This window comes from Homo sapiens, chromosome X (genome assembly GCF_000001405.40).
Source record: "Homo sapiens chromosome X, GRCh38.p14 Primary Assembly".
In the NCBI taxonomy this organism is placed as follows: Eukaryota; Metazoa; Chordata; class Mammalia; order Primates; family Hominidae; genus Homo; species Homo sapiens.
In genome coordinates this window covers 134,388,591-134,405,690 of record NC_000023.11, presented here as the reverse complement: position 1 = coordinate 134,405,690, position 17,100 = coordinate 134,388,591, and the positions used below count along the sequence as shown (strand labels likewise).

General features: G+C 38.1%; 1 protein-coding gene across 3 annotated transcripts in view; it reads right to left on the bottom strand.

The window, feature by feature from the left end:
* PHF6 (PHD finger protein 6) overlaps nt 1-17,100 on the bottom strand; it is a 55,479-nt gene that overhangs the window by 23,100 nt on the left and 15,279 nt on the right. For all 3 annotated transcript variants that reach the window (NM_032458.3, NM_001015877.2, NM_032335.3), the window contains exons 4-5: nt 12,057-12,190; nt 11,739-11,782 (exon numbers count right to left, since the gene is read on the bottom strand). In NM_032458.3, the coding sequence (NP_115834.1) occupies nt 11,739-11,782; nt 12,057-12,190 (178 nt within the window). The remainder of the gene's footprint in view (nt 1-11,738; nt 11,783-12,056; nt 12,191-17,100) is intronic.

The following is a 17,100-nucleotide window of genomic DNA, read 5'->3' as shown; positions in this document are numbered from 1 at the left end:
TACTTCGAAATAATCCAAATGAAGAAAGTGAGTGGGGGGTAAAGATGAAACGTTATGCTGTTATTTCTACTTTTGCCTAAGTTTGAAATTTCCTATAATGAAAGCTTGTACAGTGTGCTAAATCACAGATGAGCATACACAATGCCTAACACAGTACTCTGCACATGGGTGAATCAGAAAGAATATGGAGTCGGCCGGGCGCGGTGGCTCACGCCTGTAATCCCAGTACTTTGAGAGGCTGAGGTGGGTAGATCACCTGAGGTCAGGAGTTTGAGACCAGCCTGGCCAACGTGGCAAAACCCTGTCTCTACTAAAAATACAAAAATTATCTGGGCGTGGTGGCAGGCACCTGTAATCCCAGCTACTTGGCTGAGGTGGGAGGATCGCTTGAACCCGGGAGGTGGAGGCTGCAGTGAGCCGAGATCGCACCACTGCACTCCAGTCTGGGCGACAGAATGAGACAAACAAACAAAAAAAGAATATGGAGTCAGTTTTACATGGTGCGAAGACCACAATATGAATACACTACTAAAATTTTCCAGGTTAAAGTACAAAGAATTTAAATTCCATTGTCATCTAAGGAAGAGCACATGAAAAGATGGTGATAAAAGCAGGTGGAAGTTTAAAGGAATAATAATGATATAGAACACAGTATTTACAGACATCTTCAAGATATCGTGGGTTTGGTTCCGGACTACCACAGTAAAGCAAGTTATCGCAATAAAGCAAATCACATGAATCTTTTCATTTCCCAGTGCATTTAAAAGTTATGTTTACACTATATTGTAGTCTACTAAGTGTATAATAGCATTATGTATAAAAAAAGGGTATGTACCTTCATTAAAAATACTTTATTGCTAAAAAATGCTAACAATCATCTGGGCTTTCCAGTAAGCTGTAATCTTTTCGCTGGTGAAGGGTCTTGCCTTGATGCTGTTGGCTGCTAACTGATCAAGGTGGTGGATGGCTGAAGGATGGGGTGGCATGACAATTTCTTAAATTAAGACAACACTGAAGTTTGCCGCATTGATGGACTCTTTCTTTTGTGAAAGATTTCTCTATAGAATGAGATGCCGTTTGATAGCATTTTACCCACAGGAAAACTTCTTTCAAAATTAGAATGAATCCTCTCAAACCCTGCCACTGCTTTATCAACCATGTTTACGGAATATTCTAAATCCTTTGTTGTCGTTTCAACAATGTTCACAGCATCTTCACCAGAAGTACACTCTATCTCAAGAAACTACTTTCTTTGTTCATCCATAAGAAGCAACTCCTCATCTGTTAAAGTTTGATCATGAGATTGCAGCAATCTAGTCCCATCTTCAGGCTCCACTTCTAATTCTAGTTCTCTTGCTATTTCTACCACATCTGCAGTGACTTCCTCCACCGAAGTCTTGAACCTCTCAAAGTAATCCGTGAGGGTTGGAATAAACTTCTTCCAAATTCCCGTTAACATCGATATGTTGACCTCTGCCCTTGAATCACAGATGTTCTCAATGGCATCCAGAATTATGAATCCGTTCCAGAAGGTTTTTAATTACCTTGCCCAGATTCATCACAGAAATCACTATGTATGGCAGCTACAGCCTCATGAAATGTATTTCTTAAATAATAAGACTTGAAAGTCCAAAGTACTCCTTGATCCACGGGCTCTAAGAACTGCGGAATGAATGCTGTACTAGCATGCATGAAGACAACATTCATCTCCTTGTAGATCTCCATCAGAGCTCTTGGGTGACCAGATGCATTGTCAATAAGCAGTAATATTTTGAAAGGAATCTTTTTCTCTGAGCAGTAGGTGTCAAGAGTGGGCTTAAAATATTCAGTAAACCATGCTATAAACAGATGTGCTATCATTCATTTATAGAGTATAAACAGAGTAGATTTATTGTAATTCTTAAGGGCCCTAGGATTTTTAAAATGGTAAATGAGGATTGGTTTTAAAATCACCAGCTGCATTAGCCCCTAACAAGACTCAGACTGTCTTTTGAAGCTTTGAGGCCAGGCATTGACATCTCTCTAGCTATGAATGTCCTAAATGGCATCTCCTTCCAATACAAGGCTGTTTCATTAATATTAAAAATCTGTTGTTTTGTGTAGGCAACTTCATCAATGATCTTAGCTAGATCCTCTGTATAACTCAGTATAGTTTCTACATCAGCACTTGCTGCTTTCACCTTGCACCTTTATTGTTATGGAGACTTCTTTCCTTAAATCTAATGAACCAACCTCTGCTAGCTTCAAACTTTTCTTCTGTAGATTCCTCACCTCTCTCAGCCTTCATAGAATTGAAGAATTAGAGGCTTGCTCTGGATTAGGCTTTGGCTTAAGGGAATGTTGTGGCTGGTTTGATCTTCTATCCAGACTACTAAAACTTTCCCCATATCAGCAATAGGGCTGTTTCACTTTCTTATCATTTGTGTGTTCCCTGGAATAGCACTTTTAACTTCCTCCAAGAACTTTTCTTTTGCATTCACAACTTGGCTGTTTGGTACAAGAGGCCTAGCTTTTGGCCTGTCTCAGCTTTCGACATGCCTTCCTCACTAAGCTTAATAATTTCAGCTTTGGATTTAAAGTGAGAAAGGTACAACTCTTCCTTTTACTTAAACACTTAAGAGGCCATTAGAGGGTTATTAATTGGTCTAATTTCAATACTGTTATGTCTTAGACAATAGGGAAGCCCAAAAAGAGGGAGAGAGATGGAGAATGGCTGGTTGGGGAAGCAGCCAGAACACACACCACATTTATCAATTAAGTTCACTGTCTTACATGGGCACGGTTCATGATGTCCCTAAACAATTTGCAATAGTAATATCAAAGATCATTGATCACAGATCACCATAACGGATAAAAAAATGAAAAGGTTTGAAATATTGTGAGATTGCCAAAATGTGACAGAAACAAAGTGAGCATATCCTGTCGGAAAAAATGATGCTGAAAGACTTGCTCAATGCAAGGTTGCCACAAACCTTCAATTTGTAAAAAATGCAGTTATCTGTGAAGCACAATAAACTGAAGTGCAATAAAATAAGGTATGCCTGTACTGAGCCATTGTTTAGAGTTGTACACGCATTATTTTTCATTTAATCCTTAGAATAATCCTATGAGGTAGGTTTTTAAAAAAATCCCCCAAATTTTACAGATGCAATATCTAAGGCTCTCCTCTGAGAGCGATCAAATAATTTGTCCCAGATCATGTGCCTAGGATGTGGCAGAGCTAAGATTCAAATACAGACCTTATTTCAAAGCCCATACTCTTAACCAGTGTATAATACTGCCTTCCCAGTACTTCATAAGTCTATTCAATGCTACTCAACTTAAAGGTTTTTAAAGAGCTTAATACCAACATCAGAATCTCCCTATATTTCCATTTAATAAAAGTAATGCAAACTGTGGCCAGGTGCGGTGGCTCACGCCTGTAATCCCAGCACTTTGGGAGGCCAAGGTGGGCGGATCACGAGGTCAGGAGATGGAGACCATCTTGGCCAACATGGTGAAATGTTGTCTCTACTAAAAACACAAAAATTAGCTGGGCGTGGTGGCGCTTGCCTGTAATCCCAGCTACTCGGGAGGCTGAGGCAGGAAAATCACTTGAACCAGGGAGGCAGAGGTTGCAGTGAGCTGAGATCGTGCCACTGCACTCCAGCCCGGGCAACAGAATGAGACTCTGTCTCAACCAAAAAAACAAACAAACAAACAAACAAACAAACAAAAAACAACCAATAAGTGAATATTAAAGCAGGTAAAGGCTTCAAATCTACATAAATTATAACATTTTTAAGATACTTTTAATATAACTATGGTGACCCTATTTCCTGAAACATAAACTGAGTTATATCATTTGACAAGCAATTTCTAATATAAAGTTTCAGAACTGTTCATTAGGGAATCCACCAGGTCCTTGAATAAAATACAGACTATAGCCTCCAAGGTTAGGCACAAAAGATTCCTTTACACCATCTCAGAAAGCATGGGATTTTGTGGTCACTGTAATTCTAACACTTATCACCACTTTATCTTTTTAAGTAATTTCAGACTTATAAAAAAAGTTGTCATAAAAATTCCTGTATACCCTTCACCCAGATTCTAAAAATAATATTTTACCACACTTGCTTTATCATTCATTCTCTCTCAATATCCATACACATTTTTTCCTGAAAGGTTTAAGAGTAAGATGCAGCCATGATGTCACCACTGTATTTTAATGTTTGTCACATATCTGTCACTTAATTATGTCCTCCCCCACTCCCCCTAAACAAAAATTATATATTTATTAGTCTCATTTGATACATGAGGACACTTTGCCTTGTGAATAAGTTAACCAAGTTAAGACCTAGTGGGTGGCAGTTTCAGACTTTCTGTCCAGATACCCTTTCTACTTCACACTGTTAAATGATGTGAGAACTTAGGAGGAGGAAGATGGAGCATAAACTAGGAAGATGTAAGATGAGGAAAACAGTGGTTAAGAAGAGAAGACAATCAGAAAAGGGACAGACAGGGCTTTAGAATACTAGGAGGAGCGTTGGTGTACTGGTAAGTTGGGCATTACTCTCTCCAATTTACCACACTCAAAAACCTTATAATCACATAAAATGGTTCTATTTCTGACATCCCTATGTCACACTCTGGGACCACAAATGCTTGTTTTCCTAAGTACTTTCATTCTCATTGTTCTTCAACCCTATTAGGACCTCCAGTCCACTGATGCTTTCTTGTTTCTTGTTCTCCTGCTGTCACTTCCCTCCCTATCTTGCTCAAACTGCTCTCTTGCAAATATCCTAAACTCCCATATCCCTTTACTTCGTTAAACTCACTTGGCAAGATCCCAATTTTTATTTACCCAACTAGCCACTTTCTCTATGCACATACAGGATCCTGAATTACTGGTGGAAAAGTCACATCACTTGACTGTTGGGAACCACTACATAAACTCATGGGTACTAACCTCAACAGGGCCCTCAACCTATTCTGGAAACCTTACATTTCTCCAGGCAAACTTCCTCTCCCAGTCTTCAGAGCTATTCTTTCAAACGGTTCTCTTTCCTTCAGCTTCCAACCCTCACACCTTTTGCTACATTCTCCTTCACAGAGAAGGCAGACCAGAAAGGAGCCACTTATCCTCTTCGTTCCCTCTTATTACAGTGGAAATGCCCTTCTATCACAGGCCAATTGTTTTGCTTGGGTGCTGAATCCTTTTTCCTTTACCTTCAATCTCTTCCTGCCCATAGCATCCCTTCTCTTAAGGGGTCTATGTATCAATTAATTCTCCTCCTAAAAAAAAAAAAAAAAAAAAAAAAGGCAAAGGCTGGGAGGGTGGCTCAACGCTTGTAATCCCAGTACTTTGAGAGGCTGAGGTGGAGGACTACTTGAACCCAGGAGTTCGAGACCAGCCTGGCCAATGTGGCAAGACCCCGTTTCTACAAATAAAAAATGTAAAAAAAATTAGCCGGGTGTGGTGGCACATGCCTGTGGTTCTAGCTACTCAGGAGGCTGAAGTGGGAGGATCACTTGAGCCTGGGAGGTTGAGGCTGCAGTAAGCCGTGATTGAGCCACTGGATTCCAGCCTGCGTGATAGAGTGAGACCCTGTCTCAAAATAATAAATAAAAATAAAAGGCAATTAAGTGAAAGAGACCAATCTGAAAAAAGCTATATACTGTATGATTCCAACTACGACATTCTGGAAAAGGCAAAGCTATGGAGACAGTAAAAGTATCAGTGGTATCAGTATCAGTGGTTGCCAGAGGTTTGGGAGGGAAAAGGTGGAGCACAGGGGATTTTCAGGGCAGTGAAATGATTCTGTATGATACTGTAATGGTAGGTACGTGTCATTATACACATGTCAAAACCCATAGCATGTACCACACCAAGAGTGCACTAATTTAAACTATGGACTTTGGGTGATAATGATGTGCCAATATTGCTTCATCCATTGTAATAAGCGTACCACTCTGGTGTGGGATGTTAATAGTGGATAGGCTGTGTGTGTGTGTGTGTGTGTGTCTGTGTGTGTGTGTGTCTGTGTGTGTGTGTGTGTATGTTAGGGGTTGGGGAACAGGAGATATACAGGAACTCTGTACTTTGTGCTCAATTTTGCTATAAACCTAAAACTGTTCTAAAAATAAAGTCTATTAATTAAGGGAAAAAAGCCACCCTTTAACTTCCTTCTAACTATTCCCTGCCCCTTTACAAGCAAACATATTAGGAGGCTTACCCGTGTTACTATTAACATCCTACACCAGAGTGGTACATTTGTTACAATGGATGAACAAATATAGGCATATTATTATCACCTGAAGTCCACAGTTTACATTAGGGTACTCTTAGTGTGGTACATTCTATGGATTTTGACATGTATGTAACATGCCATGCCACAAATCTCCAATTTCTCACTTCCCATTTATCGAGGTGCATATCAATACGGCTTTTACCCCTATTACTCTACCCAATCTATTTTCTAAGGTCACCCATGGCTCCGTTGTCACTGAATCCAATGGATACTTTTTCAACAGCCCACGAAGTTGACCATTTGGTTCCTTCAGGAACTACTCTCTTCCTTCCTTTGGTTTCCAGGATGTAACACTAATCTGACTTTCCTCCTACCTCTCTAGCCATTCTTTTTCTCTCCCTTTGCAGGCCCATCCTTCTATACCAAGCCTTTAATTGTTAAAGTTCCTCAAGGCTCAGTCCTAGGCCCTTTCCTCTTCTGAACGCTCTCCTTAGGGGATTTTTCCTCCACTCACAAGGATGCAATTATCTATACTCACACTTGGCAAATTTCTATCTCTAGCCAAGATCTCTATTCTGAGAACAAGAACCATATAATCAATCCATCTGCTTCTCTGATATCCCCACTTAGCTAGCTCATAGGTACCTCAAACTTGATCTTTCAAACTTAACTCATCAACTTTCCCCATAAGCTTACTTTACCTCTCCTGTTATCTAAGCAAGTGGCACCCTCCGTCACCCATTTGGATACGCCAGAAACCTTGGAGTCATCTCCAATATCTCTTTTCCCTTATCCCTATATTGGATGCACCTACTAAGTCCCATCAATTCTATCTTCAAACACTCTCTCAAATTTGTCTACTTCTGCTCATCTCCGTAGTTACAACTCTAGTCCAAGCCTTCTATCACTACTAACCAGGATTCCTGCAACAAGCCATTCTCTTTGCTTAAAACCCTCAATTACCTCTTGCTGTTCTTAGGATAATATTCAAAATCCCTACCATTGTGGCCCATGTATTCTTCTCCCAACCTCATATGCCACTCTACCTATCATTTTTGTTTGTTTGAATAAGAGACAGGGTCTCACTCTGTTGCCTAGGCTGGAGTGCAGTGGCATGATTGTAGCTCCCTGCAGCCTTGAAATTCTGGGCTCAAGTAATCCTCCTGCCTCAGCCTCCCGAGTAGCTGGGACTACAGGTGCACACCATACTCAGCTAATTTTTAAAATTTTTGTAGAGAGAGGGTCTCGCTATGTTGTCCAGGCTGGTCTTAAACTCCTGGCCTCAAGCCATCTCCTCACTGGAGCCTCCCAAAATGCTGGGATTACAGGCATGAACCACCATGCCTGCCTCTATCTATCTTTTACTTACATAGCTTTCTATCAATTCCTTGGAAGCATCAAGTTCCTTCCTGTCTAAGTCTTCAAAGATCCTGTTCCTTCTGCATAGAATGTGCCTCCAATCCTCTTTAGTCTTTTAAGACTTAATTTAAATGAAATTTCCTCATAGGTCCCCCCAAACATTTGCTCATGGCACTCTAATTTCTCATTCATGGCATTTATTACAATTGTAACCTATTAATTGTGCAACTATTTATTTAATGTACATCTCTCATATTAGACTTCAAGCTCTTTGGGGCAGAGACCCATCTAATTTATCCCTATATCTCCAATTACCTAACAGGCCTGGAAAATAGTAGCTGAAATATATTTACTAGCTTGTATATAATTCCGGAAGGACTCTGTCCTCAGTTAACTGTCACCATTGATAGGGGAGATATTTTTTTTATCAGAAATGCTTTCTTTTTATTTTGGAGACCAAGTCTTGCTCTGTCACCCAGGCTGGAGTGCAAATGGCGTAATCTCAGTTCACTGCAACCTCCGCCTCCTGGGTTCAAGCAATTCTCCCGCTTCAGCCTCCTGAGTAGCTGGGATTACAGATGTGTGCCACCATACCCAGCTAATTTTTGTATTTTTAGTAGAGACGGGGTTTCACCATGTTGGCCAGGCTGGTCTCCAACTCCTGACCTCAGGTGATCCACCAGCCTTGGCCTCCCAAAGTGCTGGGATTACAGGAGTGAGCCACCGTGCCAGCCCAGAAATGCTTTCTTATATGTTTCGAATCATTTTATAGGCAACTTATCTAAGCCCATCACCACTAACAGGTAAATACATACAGTTCCTGGGACGGGCATTCTAATAACCTAGTGACATAATGATAGTTATAAACTCCATATAGATTTTTAAAATTGCTTTTCAAATTCACAGTCCATTTTTTCCTGAAGCAAAACTGATGACATAGGTTTTAGGTATTTAATATTCAATAATATTTTATTTGTGATGGGAAAATTGAATTGCTATATTATGCAATTATTCTCAAATTTAATATTTCAAAACAGCTCATTTTATATAAAGCTAACATGGCAGAATGAATTATATATTAATAGCATTTATCATATTAAGTATTAGCAAAGTAAGTATTGAGCCACAGATGGCAAATGACCAAGACATTACCATAGATATTAATTCATCTTTGTTCTGGAGACTAGTGCAGTACAATTCTTTTTTTTTTTTTTTTAGTGCAGTACAATTCTTAAAAGACAGTCCCTGAAATACAATCCTATAACCTCCCATCATAAACCATGATCGTAAAGGAGAACATATGTTTCCCATTAGAACAATGGAATAATTGGAAGTTCTGTTTCTGACAAAGCACTCAAAATCAACTAAATTTGAGCTAGATCAATGTGATAAAAGCCAGAAATCAATAAATATAAAGCTTTAATACTTTAAATTATAAAATTATTCTTTCAAGGTCCACAATGAGTATAAACACACTATATATAAAAATGATACAAGCCCCCCGCCCATTGTTCTATAGACGTACACATCGAATCCCAAATTCAAATTAATTGTAGCACAAATCTGAAGTTATAATAATGCTGCCAGTTACAGTAAAAGAAAAGTTGTCTTGAAAAGTATGAATTTAGATCTCTATTAAGTGTCACAGTGCTAAAACATGGCCAAAATTATTCTACTTTATATAGTTTGCAGTGACTTCTCCCTACCACTAGATGGTACTGTCAGCTTCAGAAATCCAGGGAATAAAATGGGAGCTATCTACATAATCAGTATATATTAATCATCCTTCTTAATTATCTCAAATATCCTGTCTCAGTGTGCTCATACTTGTATTCATCAGATCATGAGTCTCAATTCTCAGCTTAACATACAGCATAACATAGTCTCAATCCTCAGCTTAACTTGGATTGTTTGAAATAGGGATGGATACCCCATTCTCCATGATGTACTTATTTCACATTGTGTGCCTGTATCAAAATATCTCATGTACCCCATAAATACACACCTACTCTGTACTCACAAAAATTAAAAATAGATTAAGAAAAAAACCATATAGGGCCACTACAGTCTTAAAGAGAATGAAATAAATGCACTGTTAAAATCTGAAATAATGGAAGGTGGAAAAGCGTACTCAATCTTTCACAAAGGATTTTCCAATTCAATTCTAGAATTCAGTGAGGAGAAAACAGAAGAAAAGCACTACTAAGGTTTTTTCCGTCATATTTTATCACCTCAAAAAAATTATTATTTATCCAGCATGTTTACCTTAAAGACTAGATTTTGCTAACGACTGTATTTTTAACCAACACTTTAAAGTATCTGGACTAATCTCGAGTCCAGAAGTGGAAACTATATTGTTTTGTATTATAAAAGCCAAGATCTAGAGATCAAAAAGGGCCACCAATTTTAACATGCGAATACCAATAATTAGGTAAATCTTCATAAAAGAAACAGCTTCCTAAAACAACAGTGCTCAAACCATTATAATTCTAAGCAACATATTCTCAAAAGCGAACAAAAATTTTAAAGATCTCTAATCTAAATGAAGGGATAGAACAATCGCAGATTACATCTAAGCCATTTTATATTGCTAGTAAAAGTATCAAAACCATCTGTTTGAAAAGGTTTGAAACAAGTCAGAACTCAGTATCAGAGTTTTCGCATACTTTTTACAGACCAAGTTCAACTTGGCTAACTATATATAAACATGACTAACCTGGTTTTATATAAATTTAAGTAGAAACAAACTATTAAATAATTTTTAAAGTTTGTATTTTAAATTTGGTTACTTATTAACACATTGGCATTTTTTAAAGTACTACAGATGTGAATAAAAATATAACAGAAAGCCTGGTGATCACAAAATGTACTACTATTACCAAGCTCACATCATTTATAATATGACAGTATCAAGGATCCCATTTATCATCCTTAAAGAAACACGCAGCTGGCCGAGCACAGTGGCTCACGCCTGTAATCCCAGCACTTTGGGAGGCCGAGGTGAGTGGATCACCTGAGGTCAGGAGTTCCAGACCAGCCTGGCCAACATGGTGAAATCCCGTCTCTACTAAACATACAAAAATTAGCCAAGCGTAGTGGCGGGTGCTTGTAATCCCAGCTACTCAGGAGGCCGAGGCAGGAGAATCGCTTGAACCCAGGAGGCAGAGGTTGCAGTGAGCCGAGATTGTGCCACTGCACTCTGGGCAACAGAGCGAGATTCCGTCTCAAAAAAAAAAAAGAAAAAGAAAACAGAAAAGAAACGAGGCCGGGCGCAGTGGCTCACGCCTGTAATCCCAGCACTTTGGGAGGCCAAGGCAGGCGGATCACGAGGTCAAGAGATCAAGACCATCCTGGCTAACACGGTGAAACCCCATCTCTACTAAAAATACAAAAAATTAGCCAGGCGTGGTGGCGGGCACCTGTAGTCCCAGCTACTCGGGAGGCTGAGGCAGAGAATGATGTGAACCCGGGAGGCGGAGCTTGCAGTGAGCCAAGATCACGCCACTGCACTCCAGCCTGGGCAACACAGCGAGACTCTGTCTCACAAAAAAAAAAAAACACAAAGAAATGAAACACGCAGCCACCAGCATAATTTCTTACTAAAGATAGATTTTCAGCATATACTTTACAAGGACTTTGGGGTAAAAGTTTTCTTAAAAGTTCAGATCTTGGTCGGGCACGATGGCTCACGCCTGTAATCCCAGCACTTTGGGAGGCTGAGGCAGGTGGATCACGAGGTCAAGAGTTCAAGACCAGCCTGGCCAACACAGTGAAACCCCATCTCTATTAAAAATACAAAAATTAGCTGGGCATTGCAGTGCACGTCTGTAATCCCAGCTACTCAGGAGGCTGAGGCAGGAAAATTGCTCGAACCTGAAAGGTAGAGGTTGCAGTAAGCTGTGATCACACCACTGTACTCCAGCCTGGGCGACAGAGCAAGACTTCGTTTCAGGAAAAAAAAAAAAAAAGAAGTTCAGATCTTTTTCACTATGCACATTAGTTTATCCTAACACTTTTCTCAATTCTTCTAAATGTACTGAATGTTGAGATATGTCTTATGGTTAAAATTAATATAGTATAATTCACTAATCTGTACTCAAATTTCTTCTTGAAACTGAAAAGTGGCTGAAACGTGGCTAAATGATGTACCTTCGGAGTTATGTGCAGTTTTCTTGTGTTTTCGGCAATAGACCCTATAAAAAATGAAGAAATCAAAAATTAGTAAGCAAACTAAATTAAACTCACTTTTCAAATTAAGAAAACGAGCAGTACACTTCACCCAATTCACTAGCTGGATTCAAAATATATTATTAAACTTCCTGTACTATTTCTCTAAGTATTAAATTTCTTATCAAAAACACCCTTTATGATGATGATGAAATGCTTTGAAATGGGAAAAATTTTTACAAAAGCCCAAAGAAAGTATTATTGTTAAAAAAAAAACTTAAAGAGAAGTTAAATAATTACATGTAAATTCCTTGTGAAGGTTTCTCTCGTATTTGAGCTTTATCATGCAATGCACAGTGGTAGTGGTATGTCCTGTGACATGTTTTCACATCACAACCAATTGTTGCTCCAGGACAATGGCACAAAGAACACATCTACAGCAAAACGACAAAATAATATTATTAGTATGTGACTTTCTAAGGCTGTATATCAGATTAGAGGCATATCAATTTCTGTCAAGGAAAACAAATTGGTTATTGAAAAGTTTTGTAATTAATGCTACTTTTCTTGTTTTCTCTCCTTAGAATAACCGGAATAAAATTCTTCTGGGGTATTTTTTCCCATGTTAAACACTGACAAAATTAACAGAATGTTATTAATGTCTATTGTTTCATTATGGTCAAGAGAAAATTTGAAATACTGTAATTCAGGAATGTGAGCTGTATATAACATTATAAAAGAGACTTTTTATGTAATCCAGATCTTCCTAGGTACAAGTAACTGGAGAAAATGTCTCATACCAGAAAAAAAAAGTTTTCCTTAAAATTTCCACTTAATTGCTAAGTGCGGTGGCTCATGCCTGTAATCCCAGCACTTTGGGAGGCAGAGGCAGGCAGATCACAAGGTCAGGAGTTTGAGACCAGCCTGGCCAATATGGTGAAACCCCATCTCTACTAAAAATACAAAAAAATTAGCTGGGGTGTGGTGGCGCATGCCTCTAATCCCAGCTACTTGGGAGGCTGAAGCATAACTGCTTGAACCCAGGAGGTGGGGGCTGCAGTGAGCCAAGATCGTGCCACTGCACTCCAGCCTGGGCAACAGAGCGAGACTCCGTCTAAAAAAAAAAAAAAAAATCCACTTAATTAATGAGACTCTGTGGGAAAAATATCTCACATAACTTACTATTTGAGAACCTAGTAAAATCCATTTAAAGCGAGGGAAGGAGACAAGGTGAAAGAATTAGGTAGTTTTTTTAATACCTTGAGCTCTGAGACTATTTTGTGATGTCAAGTTGATTATATTATGAAAATATGCACAGTATTTCAATTTAATCTATGTCACTTACCTCTTGCACTATGAATTCAGGCAAACAGATAAAAGAACAGATTCTTTCAATGTATTTTATTATACCTTACCTTTTGAATTTAATGGATAATTCATATTGATTAACTAGCTCATGCTCTACATTTAGGAAAAAAGTTATCTTTAAAAAGTTACATAACAATGACTTTCAGTGGTTTTGATTAACATATCATAATGTACTGTACCAAGTGAACTTTTATAATGAGGCCATTTAACTGTACATGACATGCCAAAATAGATTCACAACAAGCTAAATCTAAAAAACTGTTCATTTGCTTCTTGGTTGCTGGACACCTTGTTCTAAAGTGTTCTCATCCCTCTTTTTATTAATTTGAACATAAAGAACACTTAGCATTCCTAACTTTTGGATTACTCGGCCTCTAAGCAATATTGGTGTACCAAGAGGCTAATATAAATTCCAATAAAATTTCTTACATTTCTCTAAGCAAGTCAAACACTAAAACTCTCATTCAGGCTATCATTTAAAAAATATTCATATGTCAGAAACAGAAACAGTCTCACTACAGCTGTTTCCCAGAAAACATGAGGGCCAGTGCCCATTATTGATACAAGAAATACCCCTTTCTTCCTTAAATAAATACAGAAACTTCAAAGTATTACTGTAAAAAGAAATACTATGCCAAATTATCAAGAAGGCAAAGCTTTTGGATGGCTTATAAATTCTTAAGGAGGTACAGCATTTGAACTGTAGCTTAATTACAAAGTTCTATTATATTAAAGAAATTCTGGAAAACAAAAAAGCACAAAGAAAAATTTTAAATCACTCATACTCACCAAGCAGAGATGCCTCACAGTGTTACAATGCTTAGTGAAACGTAATTCTACACATACTATTTTGCAATCTATTTTTTTAACGCATCAAACATTATCCCACTTCACTAAGAACTTTAGGGAAAGTAGTTTATCTTGAAACTTACATCCAAAACAGGTTTAGATGGGTACATTTTGAAAAAAATATATTAAATTCAATTAGCGAGCAAAACTGAAAAGAGAGGTGCCATTTAAAATACTATATTGAGCTCAACATTGACAAGATACAGTTAAGATGGGCACTGTTGTATACAGCTGGAAATTGGTACATACTCTCTAGAATGCAATTTGCCTTATTCAACAAGGTTTTTAAAAAATTTGTATTCTCTAAGCCAGTAATTTTACTCTATAAACCTAGTCTAAAAAATAATCACACTCAAGCAATTAATGCACAAGCACATTCATTGTAGAATTATTTAGAACAGTCTAAAATGTAAAACCACCTATCAACAATTGAAAAATATTTAGGTCCGGGTACAGCAGCTCACGCCTGTAATCCCAGCACTTTGGGAGGCTGAGACGGGCGCATCACCTGAGGTCAGGAGTTCAAGACCAGCCTGACCAACATGGAGAAACACCATCTCAACTAAAAATACAAAACTAGCCAGGTGTGGTGGCACATGCCTGTAATCCCAGCTACTCGGGAGGCTGAGGCAGGAGAATCACTTGAACCTGGGAGGTAAAGGTTGCGGTGAGCTGAGATTGTACCATTGCACTCCAGCCTGGGCAAAAAGAGTGAAACTCCATCACAAAAAAAAAAAAAAGAAAAAAAAAAGAAAAAAAGAAAAAGAAAAATGTTTAAATAAATTATAGTATACACATATGAGAGAATGTTCTACAGCCACTCTTTTCAAAGAAATTGGAATGGCTCAGGAAGATCTATGTGTAATGTTAAGTTAAAAAAAATGAGGCAGGATACAAAACTATGTGAATTATGAACCCAACTATGTTTATAACATAGATTCTTTAAAACAGGTGCAAGTAAAAACAGCAAAATGCTAAGTGGCTATCTCTGGGTGGCTGGTTTTCTTCATAATGCCCTGTATTTTGATTTTTCTACAATGGGCAAAAGTACTTTTATATGCAAAAATATTATTTAAAAAACAAATTAGGAAAACTCTAGTAAATGCTTTCAATACCCGTCTCTCAGTCTGGTGAGAATAAGATGGGAACCAAAAACCCAAAATATACCAAAATAGTTTTTGGCTGGTTATAAATTTAAATCTGCCCAAAGTAACTGGTTTTAAGCTGCTATGGTGAAATACATGCATTTTGCAAATAACCAGTTAACTACAGCAACTCAGGACAGATAATTTTTTTAAAGCTTACTTTATTTTTATAGTCAGTTTCACTCAAGAAAGACAAGAAAGAGGAAGACATACCAATAAAAAATATTTTCGGAGTGGAAACTTCTTTACAAGGTTAGGAGTTGGAATTTTGCTAAATTAGAATTCCCAGGACCTATTTTATGCAGCATTCACATACAAGCAGTCAAATTTCTGGCAAGGTACTAACAAAATAGCAAAAATTATCCATAATAAAGCCAAAATACAATGTTTACATTTGCTTGCTTACCTATGAATACAAAAAGGGAAAATTATCTTAGTCTACCATGCTATATTCCAACCTCTAAAATAATCCTTTTTCTCTAAACTCCTATGGGACTCAAGATATATACTGTTCATTTTGGCTCTTATCATTTTACTCCATTATATGGCTGATTATAAATACATAAATTTTATCAATCAATTCATTCTAGACAGAATTTTTTTTTGAAGAGTAACACTGTGCCTTACAAAGTACTGTTCAGTAAGTATGTCATTGCAAACATACTCTATTATTGAAGATCTTAATCTTATGGCATATTTTTTCTCATTCATGTTTCTAATACCTGCAGATTTAACATAATTATCTTCAGCTACTTCTAAAAATATTTAAACATTCTGATCTAGGACTGGGAATGGTGAAATTGGGGAGATCAATCCAGTTGGAGGAGCACAGAATGAACGTGGCAAGAATGTTTCAGGGAAAAGATTAGCCCCGCTAGAAACAAGGTTGAAAACTAAGATGAGATAAAAAGAAAAATTAAAGAAGCTGAGAAACCAGATAGGTGGCTAGTCCAGCTTAAAAAATGTTATAGGAAATAAAAATAAAACAAAGAGGCCTTCCCTAGAAAAAGGTGAAATAACTGGAAAATGGGGACCCCTCTACCACAAGGCACCTGGTTGGTTATACCCTAATAATGGCTCCAGTATCTCCCTTTACACAAAACATTTGCTCTCCAATTTACCACAGTCCCTACTGGGCCTTCAGCAGAATGACTGTCAGCTGCCATGTACCATCATGCTTGCACAGTATCCATGGCTCCCTCAAACGTGGGAAAATGAAAGTTAACCTGACAGAAACATGTTTTTCAAAAACAATGGAAGACCTCTCCCCAACTCCCCGCAAAAAAGGCCTGCCCCATGTATCAGATATTCTGTTGAGGGCTAATTTCCTGCCTCCAACATAGGCATACATGTTAATTCTCAGCTTATCCTGCTTGTATCCTGATTTCAAGTTCTTGATTTAGATAGAGGTGAAAACTTCTTCATTAATAATAATTTTTCTCTCACTCCCCTATTCAGTTTGCTACCTAGTCGACCTAGTAAACCTTAATAATTAATTAACAGCTTCAAATTAGGGATACTGGAAAAAGAGGTCCTGTCTTATTACAGATATTTGCATGGCGTCTCTATCGTATTGTTAGAAGCTACACTAACTTAAGGTTAAATTGTGCAACATAAGCAGAGTCTCAAGGAGCTGACCCACTGATGAAAGAGGAACTAAGTCATGCATGAGAGGAGACACAAGGAACTAAATGGACTGAGACTTAGCTAATGTCGGGTAGGAGCCAGAGGCTGGGGCATACCTGCTCCTCAGTCAACTTAACTAGGACAGGACTGAAATTCAGTTTGCAAAAAGAAGTCTTAAAGAGCAAAAGGAAAAATATTGCTTTCTCAGTAACTATAGGGGAGTAAAATGAAAATGAGATTGCCAACTTCTACGACAAGGCTCTTGGGGAAAAGCTGGAACCTAATGGTCAGATAGAGCCATAGGGAACTGATGGAGGAAAGGCTGTCTGCAACTTAGCTTTGTCCAGCTTCATTGT